Below are 16,238 nucleotides of genomic sequence, written 5' to 3'. Positions count from 1 at the left end.
AATCTGTCACCTTTCAGATAGGAACTTACACTATCAGTTTTCCTGGGCCTCCAGCTTGCTGACTGCAGCTTTTGGGACTTCTCAAGCTCCATAATCACATGAGTCAATTTCTCATAATAAATCTCTTTATGCACACACACACACACACACACACACACACACACACACACACCTCCTCTTGATGGTTCTGTTTCCCTGGAGAACCCTAATACAACATGTATAAAATTGGTTAATTTTATAACAGGATTTTCTACATATGACAATTTTTAGAGTTAGTGAAGAAGAGGTCAGTTTTCTGAATATATCTACAAATGATTGGCTAGTTTGGGGATATAGAAAAGTTACTTACCCTGAATCTCAATTTGCTCATTGTAAAAATACTACCTCCTCACCAAGATGTGTAAGAGTTAAAGGAGATGATGCCTCAGAAAGTGCTTTATCCCAATCAAGCCCTCTGCAATCTCTATTTAAAAGTCACTTTGTCCTGTTTTGTTTTTCATATAACATAACAAAAAAATTAAATGGTAGACACAAAAAGGACTCATATGCTGAGTTAGGTTTTCAGGCAATAGGTAAAATTTACCTTCTATGCTTATATCCCTGAGGGCACTTGAACCTTTTGTCATCAGGAGGACAGCAGGCTTCCTGGGACTGGAAGGCAAGGTCATATAACCTACGGAGCAAAGCAGAAGATGGGGGCCTCTGGTGGCATGCTGCCCTGGGGGGGCATTCGTGAGGATTCAAGCATGGTGAGACTACCAGCAACAAGTTAGCTCAGGTCTCAATTCCAGGCCTACAGGATTCTTTACAGTTTGCTTAGAATGCCAACTCTTTGCAGTTGGCAACTCTTAAAATCTTTAATGTTTTAAAATCACCACCTAGAGGCATCTTTCTGGTTTTAGCAAGAGGGCTGTGACCATGATGGAGACAGACAACTCAACACCATGAGAGGGGCTTCCTCTGTGCTCTCAATAGGGAAGAAGCAACCTCCCTGTTTTCTGTCTTGCTGTTATTGAATACTTTGTAGTTTTATGACAAAAGCATTGTATATTTTTAATTTATATTTCATGACTTTCTGTTTTATATAAAGAGACTAGTTGATTTCTGTAATTTACCTGATTTTTCCACTTGTACAAGCAGAATGCCATGGAAGGAAAGCTAGGAAATACTGGAATTATGGAACATGAAAGGATGATAATAAAAGTGTAGATTATAATTCATATACAGAAAGGGTACCAGAATGAATTTTGTTAATGATCACATCTCATGTATGAAGAACATGCATACAGAGTCATAGAAATGATGGAAAGGATGGAAAAACTGGAAGCTCTTGGGAGTTGGAAACAGTTCATGTTTCCAACTACAAGACAGAATTGATCATTAAGCCATCTTTAGCTAGAAGCTTAAAATAATCACCTAATTGGAAGTATGTTTTCTAGTCTAAAAGTCAGGTTCACATCCATTTCCTCATTAAACTGCACTACACAGCTGGGTGGTAGGGAATGTTCTCACTATGCCCTTGAGAAAGAAGCTCAGAGAGCCTTGCTTGCATTTGGGTCAGCTCAGGATGAATAAGGGTGTCTTAATAAGCATCCTGCATGGAGCTGTGCATATGATGCACTATTTGGACAATAGCCTCTTTGCTGAAGGGGAACTCCCTAAATTTTCAAACTCCCTTATGAGAGGCAGGGGTGAGTGAATAGTCTAAAAGGTGTTAGTCAAGTTGGTTGTTTTAGTATTCGATCACTTAATATTTTAGCTAATGGAATCACTCTTCAGAAAAGGGAAGGTTTTCCATATATGATAAAGACTGAAGACCAAATTTTCTATATTTTATAAAAAATTTTTTTACAAACAGAAATAGAGTTACCTTGTTGGGAGACAGAGAGGCTTACTTTTAGATCATACTGCCCACTGAGCAAGAGCCAGATTCAAAACGGGTGAAGGGAAGAACTCAGGCTGAAGGGGGCAATCCGATCCATAGGGTGGCAAGGAGAGAGAGCTCTTCAGCATTCACTGGATAAGTGATAAGTCTACCTGCTTATCCAGCATTCACTGGATAAGTCTACCTGCTTATCTAGCACGTGTTGCATATTTTGAAATAAACAAGAATATAAATAACAACTTTCTGAGTTCAAATCTTATAACGTGCAGGAGTTGGTCTCCTTTTAGATGTGACCACTGGCTTCACTTCATGTGACTTCTCTCAACATGGAATGTCTCTCAGGTTTCTTGAGACGAGATGGTGACTACATGCACCCCTACCCCATGCACACATCCAACCCATCTGTAAACTGCTTGTTTTCAATCAAAGCTTTTTTTTTCCTTTTTCAGCTTTCTGCCAACATGCTCACCAAGAGCCATACTGAGCCAAAAAGAAAAACAAGAGTGAAAGGTGGGGTGGGTTAAGAAGGATAGTAAGCAGCCAGGCCTCGATCCAGTTGTCCTGATTCCAAGTCAAGAGAAATTTAAACACAATCTCTCCTTTTCATTTATTTTTATTAGGTCTTTTTGATATTCCCTTTTAAAGTATTTTCTCTAAACTCACAATTGGCGAATGATATAATAGGATCATCGCATTTTAGTATTATTGGGACATTTAGATATTATCTAGGCCAATCCCTCTTTTGATAAATAAGAGGACTGAAGCCCAGGAAGGTCAAGTCATTTTTTTTCCAGGTCATACAGCTGGTTGATAGTTAAGTTGCAGGGAGAATCCAGGCACGCTGTCCATCTCAACAAGCATCCTATCTACTGAAGGTATGATTAAGAATGACCATGAAAACATTGGCAATAGTAAAATTTTAAAAACATAAGTTTCACCTGCTATTCTAAGCACTTCTCATGCCATGAAGAATTTAATTTAAAATTACTCTATGAAGTAGTTACTGCTACTATTGCACTTTTACAGGGAGGGCAATTGCCGCACAGCTGAATGAATTTCCCAATATCATTCAGTTAGCCAAAACCAGAGCCAGGATTCACTCCCAGGCAATCTGGCCCAGGAACCCACATTCATGACTACTCTGCTTAATTGACTCTCTTGAAAAAGGTTCGTAAGGCTTACATAAACTTTAGAAGTCATATAACTTCTTGTGTTTTAACTGCGATTTGCTTTAATGAACCAAAACATTAATTTGCTAAGTTGCTGGTCTGTAGATAGAATTCTTTCTTTTCAGAGTCTGAGACTACTGAAAGGTGTACTTTTTCAGGATCCACTATGAAAAAAACAAGTTAAGCCATTAATGGAAGAAGACTGCTTTCTTGAAAAGATAACTTTTTAAATTGCTGCAATGAGAAAAGGCTGACTCAGGAAAACTAGAGATAAACATAGAAACGAAGCCAAATTCGAAAATATAGATCGGCACAAGCAAGTTGTTGATGCTAATAAATATAAATTGACACATGAGTCTCTTTAGGTTTGGGGTATATATCACTAAAGCCCTACTCTCAGATTTCTCTTAATAAAGGCCATGCCACCCTGAGGATTTCAATATATAACAAAGCACACTTTGCTTGTTTTGAACTAGCCTCCCCTAGTTTTCCCAAGCAAGGTTTTCAGATTGTTCAGTTTATTATTGACCAACCAAGGCAATCATCACCATGTGCCCAGCTCTCCCTGGGCTCTCTCTTGATTGGTAACTGCCCTGCCCAGTGGGTCCTCACTGAAAGCTGACCAGCCTTAGCCTGCCAGTCTCTGGATGATGTGAGAGAGCTGAGAACTTTCTGCGAACTAACCCAAGTCAGTTTTCCAAGTACAATGAGCAGATTCTTTCATAAATGTAGACAGCCTTTGGCAATACATAGGTGGAGTTATCTGCCTGCTCACCCCACAACCTCATGATTAATAGTATACTGTAGGGAAAATAATTCTCAGAGAAAATTCTACCCATAGGTACAAACATTTCTTAGGTGGAAGTTTCAAAAACATATATCCTGTTCCCTTAAGTGTGGTAAGGTTCTGGCCCTCTGCCTTTTTGGACACCCTGATTAGCACTTTGTGTGAAAGGTTCACTTGGAAGCCAGTAAAAAATATTCTGATGGCAAAATCAGCCTTCCTTCTCACTGAATCCTGTGCCCAGTGCCTGAACTAAGGGGTGAGTAGGCGGTAGGAATAGGGCAAAGCTGAGGTCTTCACCTGGGGTGCTGTGTTGGGCTGTGGGTTTGCTGGATGTGTTGCTCAAGGAAGGACAGAAACTCAGAGTCCTTGCACTCATCATGAAAGGACATACTGTGCAATCTTTCTAACCAGCTGAATGTCTTGACACTACTGATTTCACCAGTGAAAAATTACTTCTCTGCTGCTAATTAGTGATATTGAAATCATTTTCCTAGAAATCTCTGGAGGGTGGATCTTTGAGTGGGCACTTCAAATGTTAACAAAACACCTGAGAGTGTGCTATTAATTTACACAGTATATATTTATCACATGTTTATATGGAAGTGTTTAAAAATAAATCACAAATAATATAACCACACCAGAAAAATAAATGGTCCAGGGAACTGCAGTGGTTGTAGACTTATGCCACATGTTCCTAAAGACAAACAATCTTCTTTTTTCCTCTTCCTTCTGCTCCCCAATCTCACCTGGTAAGGCTTAGAGCAGATTTTTGACTTGCCTCACTCCAGACAAACATTCTAAACACAGAAAGGTGGGAGCACTGCCCATTTTACATATGCAAATGAAAGCCACCTGCACCCAATGGACACCTAGCTATATGGGAAGACTTTAGACTATTAAGACAAAGGTAAACCAGACAAGGAATACAAAGGGATATCCCTAAATTGTTCTCAGAAAAAGAGAGCTAAAGGAACCAAAACAGAGTTCTTTTCTTCCCTTCTATTTATTCATTCATTCTAAAAAGTACTTATTCATATTGTTTTATGCACTATTTGCACTGTGCTAGGTACAGGGATACAGCAGGGACAAGATATTCGAGATCATTGCTCTAAAAGATTTTACACAACAGTGAGGAAAGACAATATATGTTTACACATGTAAATTTACATACACGCAAACAAATAACTGTAGATACTGACTTGGACCTGATTGATAAGAAGAAGTAAAAATATGAAAAAGTCTAGAGGAAAACTATCCCAGACAAAAGAAATGAGATACATACAATGAGGCTGAGGTATAGAGCAATTTAAAGATGAGGTCACAGAGGTAAGCAAAGACTGCTTTATAGGCCAGGGAATGGCACTGATATTTAATTCAAAGTGTGATGTGAAGTTGGTAATATAAGGAGGGGAGTGATATGGTCTGATTTACTTTTCAGAAAGATCACTCCAGCTGCTGCACAAAGAATGAATGATTGAGGAACTAGAGCAGAAGAAAGGACAGTCAGGAGCTGTTCCATAGTTTAGACAAAAGATAGTGTTATCTTGGAGTAGGGTGGTAGAAGTGGAGATGGTGTAAAGATAATTTTTGAGGTAGAACAGAAAAGACTCACTGATGAATCAGACGAGGGCTGGGAGGGAAAAAGATGAAGCAAGGATGACATTGAGGTATTCTGTTTCTTCTAAAACCTTGAGTTTCATGGGATTCAAGATGGCTGACTAGAGATGTCAGATGCCAATTCTCCTCAGAAAGAAGAACGAAAGTTACAGTGAATAATCATAAGTTGAATAGCCTATCAAGGGGTGAGTGCTGGAACCTAGTGAAGACCTCAGGGAAGAAGCTGGGGCACAGCAAAAGAAGGAAACAAGAGGCTGGTAGAGACGGGCTAGAAATCCAGAGGGACTTGTTACTTCATTGGAAGGGTGAGTGGGAGTGTTTCGGCTCCCCTCACCCCTACAGCAGACCACCAGTATCTGAACTGTCAGAACCCAAACACTGGTGTAAGCTGTGATTTGAGGACTTTTTTTTTTATTATTATTATACTTTAAGTTTTACGGTACATGTGCACAACGTGCAGGTTAGTTACATATGTATACATGTGCCATGTTGGTGTGCTGCACCCATTAACTGGTCGATTTGAGGACTTCTTGAGGGCAGTACACCAGATCACCAACTCCTGCCAGATCACTCACCAACCCCTGGACCCGAGTGGCAGTGGCAGGGCACCCTACTGAGGCACAGCCATCAAAGTCCTCTGTCCTGCTCAGCCCTTTTGTCTCCAAATCGCCAGATCCCCTGCAGACATTCATCAGTGCCTGCTCAGGCTATGGAAGCTGTACAGGGCTGGCTGGACCCAGGGGACCTGAGGGTTCTGAGTGGTCCAGCTCTTGGGGAGTGATGTTCCTAAGGGAAGGGAGAGTGCAGCATACCAAGAGAGCTCCTGTTGGGAGAAAGGAAACCAGAACACGTGCTTTCCTAGCCTGAAAACTCCCTGCCTATGGGCTCTGAGTGGCTGCATCTCTTCCAGCTGAGACAAAGGCACTGTACTCAGCTCTGCAAGGGAGGAATATAGTTCTATCACAGAAGCCAAGTGGCTTCTGTGCTGGGCCCCTGACAGCTATAGACACAACCATAGTGGCTACCACAGGAAATTGGCACAGGTATGCTGGAGGATGGCTTTTCTAGCGCTTTAAGGGGCAGCTGCAGCCCCACTGGTGGTGTGCCCACCAGGCTGGGCTGTCATGAAAAGTGAGACCCCCATCCTCCACATGGAGCATCAGTGTTCTTGCAGTGGAGAGCAGAAAAGCTGAAAAGCTGTGTGTTTTAGGCTGAGGGAGGAGGTTCTGCACAGGGGAAATTTTGACAAAGTGAGGCAACTGTGTCTTTTACAGCTCTCAGCTACACTGCAGCCTGGAGATATTGTCTGACCAATGTGAGTGTCCCAAGCACCACGATGAGGGCATGACAGGGAAATGGATCACATTCCTGCCCGATCAGGCCATGGAGTTCAATAGTATGCGCATCTGTATGCTCACAAACCAGAAAACCTAGAAGAAATGTATAAATTCCTGGAAAAATACAACCTCCCAAGATTGAACCAGGAAGAAATAGAAATCTCGAGCAAACCAACAATGAGTAGTGAGACTGAATCAGTAATAAAAAATCTCCCAAGAAAAAAAAAGCCCAGAACCAGTTGGATTCACAGCCAAATTCTCCCAGACATACGAAGAACTGGTACCATTCCTACCAAAATCGTTCCCCCAAATTGAGGAGGATAGAATCCTTTCTAACTCATTCTAGAAGCCAATGTCACCCTAATACCAGAGCCAGGTAAGAACACACTAAAAAGTAAAAAACTACAGAGTAATATCACTGAAGAACATAGCTGCACAAATCCTCAACAAAATGCTAGCAAACCTAAATGAACAGCACATCAAAAAGCTAATACATCATGATCAACTAAATTTTATTCCAGGGATGCGAAGATGGTTCAACATATGCAAATCAGTAAATATGATTCATCACATAAACAGAATGAAAAACAAAAACCATACAATCATCTCAATAGATGCAAAAAAAGCATTTGATAAAATTTAGCTTCTTTTCATGATTAAAAAACCCTCAACAAACTAGGCATAAAAGAAACATAATTCAAAATAATAAAAACAATATATGCAAACCCACCACCAACATCATACTGAATGGAGAAAAGCTGGAAGCATTCCCCATAAGAATTGGAATAAAGCAAGGATCCCACACTCACCACTCCTATTCAACAGAGTACTAGAAGTTCTAGCCAGAGCAATCAGGCAGCAGAAAGAAATAAAAGGCATCCAAATTGGAAAATAAGTAAAATTATCTCTGCTGATGATATAAGCTTATACCTAGAAAACCCTCAAGACTCCTCCAAAAAACTTCTATATCTGATAAATGAATTCAGTAAAGTTTCAAGATATGAAATCAATGTACAAAAATGAGTTCCATTTCTGTATACCTATAACAATCAAGCTGAGAACCAAATCAAGAAGTCAATCCCATTTACAATAGCTACAAAATAAAAAATCAAGGAATACACTTATCCAATGAGGTGAAAGATCTCTACAAGGAAAACTACAAAACACTGAGGAAAGACATATAGATAATACAAACAAATGGGAAAACATCCCATGCTCATGAATTAGAATAATAAATATATTTAGAATGACCATACTGCCCAAAGCAATGTAAAATTCAACGTGATTCCTACCAAAATACCAACTTCATTTTTCACAGAATAAAAAAAAAATCCTAAAATTCATATGAAACCAAAAAAGAGCCCAAATAGCCAAAGCAATCCTAAGAAAAAGAACAAAGCTGGAGGTATCATATTACCTGACTTCAAATTATACTACAGGGTGTAGTAACCAAAACAGCATGGTCCTGGTATAAAAGTAGACACATAGCTCAATGGAGTAGAAAAGGGAACCCAGAAATAAAGCCATATACCTACAGCTAACTGATCTTTGACAAAGTTGATAAAAATATACACTAGGGAAAGGACACCCTACTGAATAAATGGTGCTGGGAATATTAAATAGTTATATGCAGAAGAATGAAAGTGGACCTCTATCTCACCATATACAGAAATTAACTCAAGATGGATTAGATTTAAATGTATGACCTAAAACTATTAAAGTCCTAGAAGAAAACTTAGGAAAATCTCTTTGGGACATTGTCCTAGGAAAAGAATTCATTATTAAGACTTCTAAAGCAAATGCAACAAAACCAAAAATAGACAAATGGGACTTAATTAAACTAAAGCTTCTGCACAGCAAAAGAAATAATAAACAGAGTGCACAAATGACTTACAGAATGGGTGAAAATATGCATCTGACAAAGGACTAATATCCAGAATCTCCAAAGAACTGAAACAACTCAACAAGAAAAACCAACAAATAATCCCATTAATAAGTGGGCAAAGTATATGAACAGACACTTTTCAAGGAAGACATACAAATGGTAAAAAATCATATGAAAAAATGCCCAACATCACTAATCCTTACAGAAATGCAATGAAAACCAAGAAATACCATCTCGTACCAGTCAGAAAGGTTATGATTACAAAGTCAAAAAACAAAAGATGTTGGCAAGGATGCAGAGAAAAGGAAACACATACAACACTGATGGAAATGTAAATTAGTACAACATCTATGGACAACAGTATGGAGATTTCTCAAAGAACTAAAAATAGAGCTACCATTCAATCCAGCAATTCCACTACTGGGTGTCCACACAAAGAAAAAGCAATCATTATACCAAAAATATACTTGCACTCATATGTTGATTGTAGTACTCTTCCTAATAGCCAAGCTATGGGATCAATCTAAGTGTCCATCAGTGGATGACTGGATAAAGAAAATGTGTATGTATATGTGTAGATATATATATATACACACACACCCATACCATGGAATCCTACTCAGCCATGAAAAATAACGAAGTCACATCTTTTTTAACAACATGGATGGAACTGTAGATGATTATCTTAAGTAAAATACTCAGAAACAGAAAGCCAAATACTGCACATTCCACTTGTAACTGGGAGCTAAATAATGTGTACCCATGAACATAGAGTGTGGAATAATAGACACTGGAGACTCAGAAAGGTGAGAGAGTAGGAGGGGGATGGGAGATGAGAAATTAGGGTACAATATACACTATATAGGGGATAGTTCCCCTAAAAACCCAGACGTCACCACTAGAGAATATATCCATGTAACAAAACTGTAATTGTACCCTAAATTGATAAAAATACAAATAATAAAAAACTTTGAACAACTGTTGAATCACAGAGGAAGTGGCCACCTTAAGACCTGATTTTACTACCTCCTAAATTCTATGTATTCCCATGCCCTACAAATCCTCCAGTTTATGCCTCTATCATCTCTGATCTGGCTGTGAAAATTACTCCAAACTGCCTCCAACCTCACCCTTCTACAACTCTTCTCCTACTATTGTGGCCATCATTTCATAACAAAAATCTGATCCTTGTATACGATGGTTCCTTCCTCTCTACCTATAAGATAAAATTCAAAATCCTTATAGCAGCCTACAAGGCCCTGCCTTATCTGGCTCCTGCCTACCTCCCAGGCTTTCATCTCTCATCATGTGTTTCTCTCTCACCGCTACCTCTCTACATCCTTTGATAAGGCCTAGCAAGATCTTTACAATTCCCAGAATACCCCATGCTGTGTTTACATTGCTATCTTAATTAGAATGCCCTCCTTAGCACCTCATCCGTCTGGAAAATTCCTCCTTTTTCTGCTAAGAGTCAAATGAGTTTCCCCAAACCCTATCTCCTTCAGCTAAGTTTTTGTTGCCACTGTATCTTGTATATACTTACATATAGCTCTACTACAACACTACAATGCACGTGTAAGATTTTGTTCACATATGTCTCTCTGTCTCGGGTGATAAACTCCTTGAGGGAAGACATCTGGCATTTTTCTCTTTGTATACCCATGTGCCTTTCACCGTAACTTATACATATTAAATGATCAAAATAGTAACTGTCATCAAGCAGTCATCTTTTCTCTGCATAAATACCTATGCCTTTACAGACTGTGAACTCTGTACCTCTCAATAGAGCCATTCCATTTTTGGTGCATCAAAAAATGATGAGGCCAATGAATTCTTACTGAGTTAGCAGAAATCCAACTTTATAAATTAATCAGATTACTTAAGATTGTTTTTTTGGTAAATACAAGCCTCAGATCATTCAATGTAATTATGTACAGGTTTTCTAGAGTTAATTGAAAACATTACCAATCATTTTTCTTTAAGTGAATGAACAGATTTCATTTAAACATTTGTTTGCTTGTTTTTAAGTTACAGCTTCAGGAGATTAAGGAATATAAGAATAAGCATAGGCAATATTTTTATAAGAAAGAGAAAAACTGTTCTAAGGAACAGATATGATAAAGAAAAGGCTTAATCCAAAAGCTCTATTAAAATACAGAAAAGCACACTATAAGCTAAAATATACTTACTAGGATTACTTTTTTTCTGAAATATTTACTGTGATAACTTTTTTATAAGTCCTATTCTGCAGATACTGGGACTGCTTCAGCTCAACCATTCTGCTCTACCAAAGAGTTTTTGAAGACCTTTCTGCAGAAATTAGATGACCTATACTCAGGTGTATTTTAAATGTATCTGCCTGAATATCAGTTTTAAAGAAATGAAAACTATTTGTCATTTCAGAAAAGCTGGTATCTGCTCTCTACAATCTCAAGATAAGTAAAATAAACATTTCTAATCTGTGCATATACAGGATTCAGACATTGTACTTTGGAAGATTTTTCCTCTTCTTGTGGAGATGTTTAAAGGTGTTTATAATACATTTGCTTATTTTTTTAAAAAAAATAGAAATGCTGAGTGTATTTTTATATTTTCTATCTTTTCGTATTGTTTTTCATTAATACAGAGCCTCTTCTAAATAGTCTACAGCAAAACATTGCAATATATTTCAAAGGGTTATTTCTTTGCCAGAAATATTTTTATCAGATCAAAATGTTTTTTGTCAGTGAATCTCAGAATAAAAGGCCTATAAGCTGTTTTAAGTAAAAAAATACTTGTGCTGTCAAGTTTATCTTGCTGAGCATATTTAGCCCTCCTTTAATGATCATGTTGATAAAGTATACTTGGCATGCAATTGTTTATGAAATAAAGGTCCTTGATGCAGAATGCAAACAAGAGTCACAGATTAATTGCATCATAAGGACTCAATAAAGATTTAATATACATCTAACAATCTAATACAACCATGAAACTATTTCGAAAAATAATTATAAAAGATTCATAATCTGTAAAAAGCCTATGGTGTAAAAAAGGTAGAAATGGAACAAATACAATGAGAAGAGACAATAATGTAAATAAGATCTCCTCCTGCCCTTGAGAGCTTATTTGGAGGTTCCAGCAGGGGAACGCAGCTACTCATATACCCTGGACTGGGGACAAGGTCGTCCTCTTCAACCAAGCACACAGCTTCAGGAGAGATGCACATGGAGCAGTGAGAGAGGAAGGGGACACCCGCCTAGCCAGCCAGATCAGCTGAATCAACCCTGGCACTCAGTGGAGCGGCAGCCAGATAACTCTCACGTCCTCCTCCTTCCCTTAAAGTATCATTTCCAAAAGTTTCCTAACAAATGAGGAAAATAGCATTGTTAGTACTTATTTCTGGGAACTTTACGTGAGTCCAGACAAAATCTTTCACTTACCTGTTTTACTTTTCTCTGCTTCTGTCTACCCAGGTAGAAAGCTAAATTCCAGTCTCACTGTGAACTTCTCCAGGTACTCTGCTCCTCCCATTTGACCTGCATTTCCATAAGGTAGCCTCCTCTCCCTTCAGATTATTAATTCTAGTTCTGTTTTATTTAGGGGTTGAAGGCACTAGGAGAAATATCTAGGTCCATTGCCCCATAATTCCAGATGGAATGGAAAGACCGTCACCAGGTTTTGCTCAGGGCAGGAAAAAAAAAAAAAGAAAGCAAGAAAAAAAAGAAACCTCTACTAAGAGCAAAAATGGAAAGGATCTTTTTGACAACTTTAGATGTACAGAAAGGCTGTTCAAGAGGTACTACCCCCCAAGGAGAAGCAGAGCAGAGCTCTTTAAATGAAAGCAGTTTTACCAAGTCAGGGGAAAGAGCATGCTTATAAAAGAGATGGGTGTGACAGCAAAGCTGCTTGTTGAAATGGTGGGGAGGGTCAGGGAAATATTAGCAAAAATGACAGCATTGACTGCCATTTCTCTTTTCAGTCCTCGTCTCTCCTTGTGTGGCCATCCACATGTCATCTTGTCACCCTTTCTCTCTCTCTCTCTCTCTCTCACACACACACACACATGCTACACAGAGTGCCATGAAAACACCAAACTTTCTCAGAATGAGCTTGTCCTGGCTATCAAGTTATTATAGAAACAGAGAAAATGGCAGAGGTTGGGGGGTGGGGGTTGGGGGGAAGGATTCTTACTTCCATAAACTACTGATTTTCACAGTTTAGTTCTGCTCTCCTAACTAAATAGAAAAGAAATTCTCAAATGGGATAAAACTAAGGGCCTCATTGCTCTTTCCCCTCCACTGCAAGCTCCATCTTATATAATAACATTTACTGTTGAGAGAGAAAACAGAGAGGGAACATATCTGTACAAATGCAGAACTATGCATCCTGGTTTCTGGAATGTGGTAGGTATTCCCTCTCCCAGTAAAGTTCCCTATTGCCTCAGATGTGGAAAAATGCAGAAGGAAACTGTCATCTCAAGGCTCTATCTCATCTGAGGGAGTCTCTTCATATAAGTTTCTCTGTATTCTATTACTTTACTATATTTTTATTATATTGATTTTTGTTACATTTGTTTGATAACTTTAAGTACATAGGGCAGAAAGATATAAAGGTTAATAGAAAAAACATTTTTTAATTACATAAGAAACAGAAAAACTAGGCCAGGCCATGGTAGCTCATGCCTGTAATCCCAGCACTTTGGGAGGCTGAGGCAGGAGGATCACTTGAGGTCAGGAGTTCAAGACGAGCCTGGCCAACATGGTGAAACCACGTCTCTACTAAAAATACAAAATTAGCCGGGCTTGGTGGGGCATGCCTATAATCCCAGCTGCTCGGGAGGCTGAGGTGGGAGAATTGCTTGAACCTGGGAGGCAGAGGTTGCAGTGAGCCAAGATCACACCACTACACTTCAGCCTGGGCGACAGAGCGAGATCCTGTCTCAAAAAAAAAAAAAAAAGAAAAAGAAAAAGAAAAAACAGAAAAACCATATAAACCACAAACAAACTATATTACAATATTATTCTATTTTTCCAGTTAAATATAAAAAATATACTCAGGGTCCAGAAGAATTAAAAGAATCTACACTATCTGAGGAAAATAAAAAGAAAGCAACCAACAAAGTACAATGTAATTGTGAGAAGATGCAAAATATAACAGTTCAGGTGGAATGCACACGTGACCACATCTAGTGCATAGTTCCTTTATTTCAAAGTCAAGAACTTACTGAATGTAACAAAGAAAAGACTAAATGAAGTCCTTTATTCTATTGAACAGCATTTGGAAAGAACCAAATAAGAACAACAATAATAACTAGCATTTATTTAGTACTGCTTTGTGCCAGGGACCATACTATATATTTTCCTGAATCCTTAAAACAACTTTGCAAAGAAGGTAGTACTACTCTCATTTCATCAATAAGTAAACTGAGACTCAGAAAAGTTAAGTAATTTGTTCAAAGTTATATATTTAATAGATAGCATAGGAGGATTCAAACCAAGCTCTACTTTGAAAGCCTTTGAATCTTTGATTAAACAAGTGACTTTCCATTAGTCCAGATCAGGATTACAAAAGTAAATGTTTAGAAAGGCTATGTAGGCGATAACAATGGGAGAAGCAGGCTGGTTGTAATTGCAATAGGCAACACAATTCAGCACTGGCAAAAGGCCTGTGGCCAACCGGAAAACACTTGCACCCCTTTACAAAGGGCCCATGATACTCAGCTCCACCTGACTGTTACCAGGATGCAATGTACCGCATTACCAGGATCTGTTATTAGAGGAATTTTCCATTATTTGGAGAAATTAGAAATCCATATCTTCATGGAAATATTCTGTTTTTATATATTGGTATAAATACAGCTTGCCAATCAAACCACATAAGCATCCTAAACATCATCTGTCCTAGATATGTTCTTAAAACACCAGAGTCAGCCTGCTGGTTATGGAGGCACAATCTACTCATCACTATGGGTGGGCAATGAATGGTCTATGGATGGCCGGAGAGAAATATTAAATTCCTTTCCATTAGTAAGAGGCTCAGAATCAGGCAGTAGAGACAACTCAGTGAGACCAATGTGGCTCTAAGTGTGGCCCAAAATAGACCATAGACGGCTCACTCTGAATCTTGCTTGTGCATTTCACAGACTCTTGCCTGCATTCCTTCAGGGGCCATAGACTTCATTACATCACTTATAGGACCCAATTACGAGCTATCTCCTGAATGCCATTTTTATCAAACTTCCTGAGATGTGCCCTGTGCACTCTACCTTTTCATATTATCAGCTGACATTTCCATCCAACTACTGGAAATGTCTCTAATGTTGTTCTGACACATCAAAGCAGATACAGCAGCCTTTCATTTCTAAACCTCTGGTCTCAGAGAACCTTTGAAAATGAGCTCAACACTAGGCGAGCACTCTCTACTCCTCAATAAAAGGGACACTTCCAATTCTCCAGAGACCCTATCTGAGTGGGCTTAGAAACTCACTCAGATTCCCATTATAATGAAGAAGCTCTGTCAAGTTCCCCAGTTCTAGACCCAAACCTGTTAAGATAACAGAGAATCATGCTGACTTTGGGGATACACATCAGTTAAGGAACAATGTAGCTTGTTTATAATATAACATTCCTTTTTTTAAAAGGCTTATCCAAACTGCTCATGCTAGACATGGTATTTCCTGGTTCTTTATAAGGCTACAGAAAAATGAAAATACACACTATCATTAAAAGATTTCTTCCCATTTTCCTAGGCTCTTAGCAGGCTCTTACTAGGAATGCACATCCTTAACTTTGTTTATATAGCACAATGGAAACCATAAGGAACCAGACAATCTAGGCAAGCATATGTGAGTAATTTTAAAAGCTCTCATAAAAAGAATGTTATACGTATCATATGTTGCCAAGATACTAAGCCACTCTCATAACATGTAACTAAACATAACATGGGGTACTAAATTTCAGCATATTTATCCTTACCTGCAAGTCTTCTTCTCTTCATATTCAGATCGATGATATTTTTGCAAGAAATCAGCCTTGCATACCTCTTGTTGAAAAACAAAATAAAATGCTGCCCATTCTTTTTTTTTTTTTTTTTTGAAGCTAGGGTTTTTTTTTAATTCCGAACTGTTTAGGTTCTTATTCATTCAGACTAATTCCAATTTATGCCTAATTTTAATAGTTTGGATTTATTTTTGTATATTTGAATCTATCATAATATTGTCAGAGAAAAAATTCTTTTTAGAAATGTACTGAGGGCCAGGCACAGTGGCTCATGCCTGTAACCCCAGCACTTTGGGAGGCCGAGGCAGGCAGATCACTTGGGGTCAGGAATTCGAGATCAGCCTGGCCAACATGGTGAAACCTCATCTCTAGTAAAAATACAAAAATTAGCTGGGTGTAGTGGCACGCACCTGTAATCCCAGCTACTTGGGAGGCTGAGGCAGGAGATGGCTTGAACCCGAGAGGTGGAGGTTGTAGTGAGCCACAATCACACAACTGCACTCCACCCAGCCTAGGTGACAGAGCCAGATTCCCTCTCATTAAAAAAAAGAAAGAAAGAAAGAAAGAAAAAGAAATATACT

At 38.6% G+C, this 16,238-nt stretch overlaps 1 protein-coding gene and 1 pseudogene across 3 annotated transcripts in view, besides 1 other annotated feature; both read right to left on the bottom strand.

Annotated features, from left to right (window-relative positions):
• Positions 1–16,238, bottom strand: part of KCNN2 (potassium calcium-activated channel subfamily N member 2) — a 440,519-nt gene that overhangs the window by 231,000 nt on the left and 193,281 nt on the right. The window lies entirely within an intron of this gene.
• Positions 9,808–10,319: an enhancer, noted in NCBI's record as "NANOG hESC enhancer chr5:113590875-113591386 (GRCh37/hg19 assembly coordinates)". NCBI's record gives its function as "activates a minimal SCP1, AML or CMV promoter by ChIP-STARR-seq in naive and primed H9 embryonic stem cells {active_cell/tissue: H9 hESC(naive and primed)}" and the evidence as "EXISTENCE:reporter gene assay evidence [ECO:0000049][PMID:30033119]".
• On the bottom strand, positions 11,743–11,984 carry RN7SKP89 (RN7SK pseudogene 89; annotated as a pseudogene).

This window comes from Homo sapiens, chromosome 5 (genome assembly GCF_000001405.40).
Source record: "Homo sapiens chromosome 5, GRCh38.p14 Primary Assembly".
NCBI lineage: Eukaryota > Metazoa > Chordata > Mammalia > Primates > Hominidae > Homo > Homo sapiens.
Note: the sequence above shows the minus strand (reverse complement) of the source record. Positions and strands in the feature narration are given on the sequence as shown.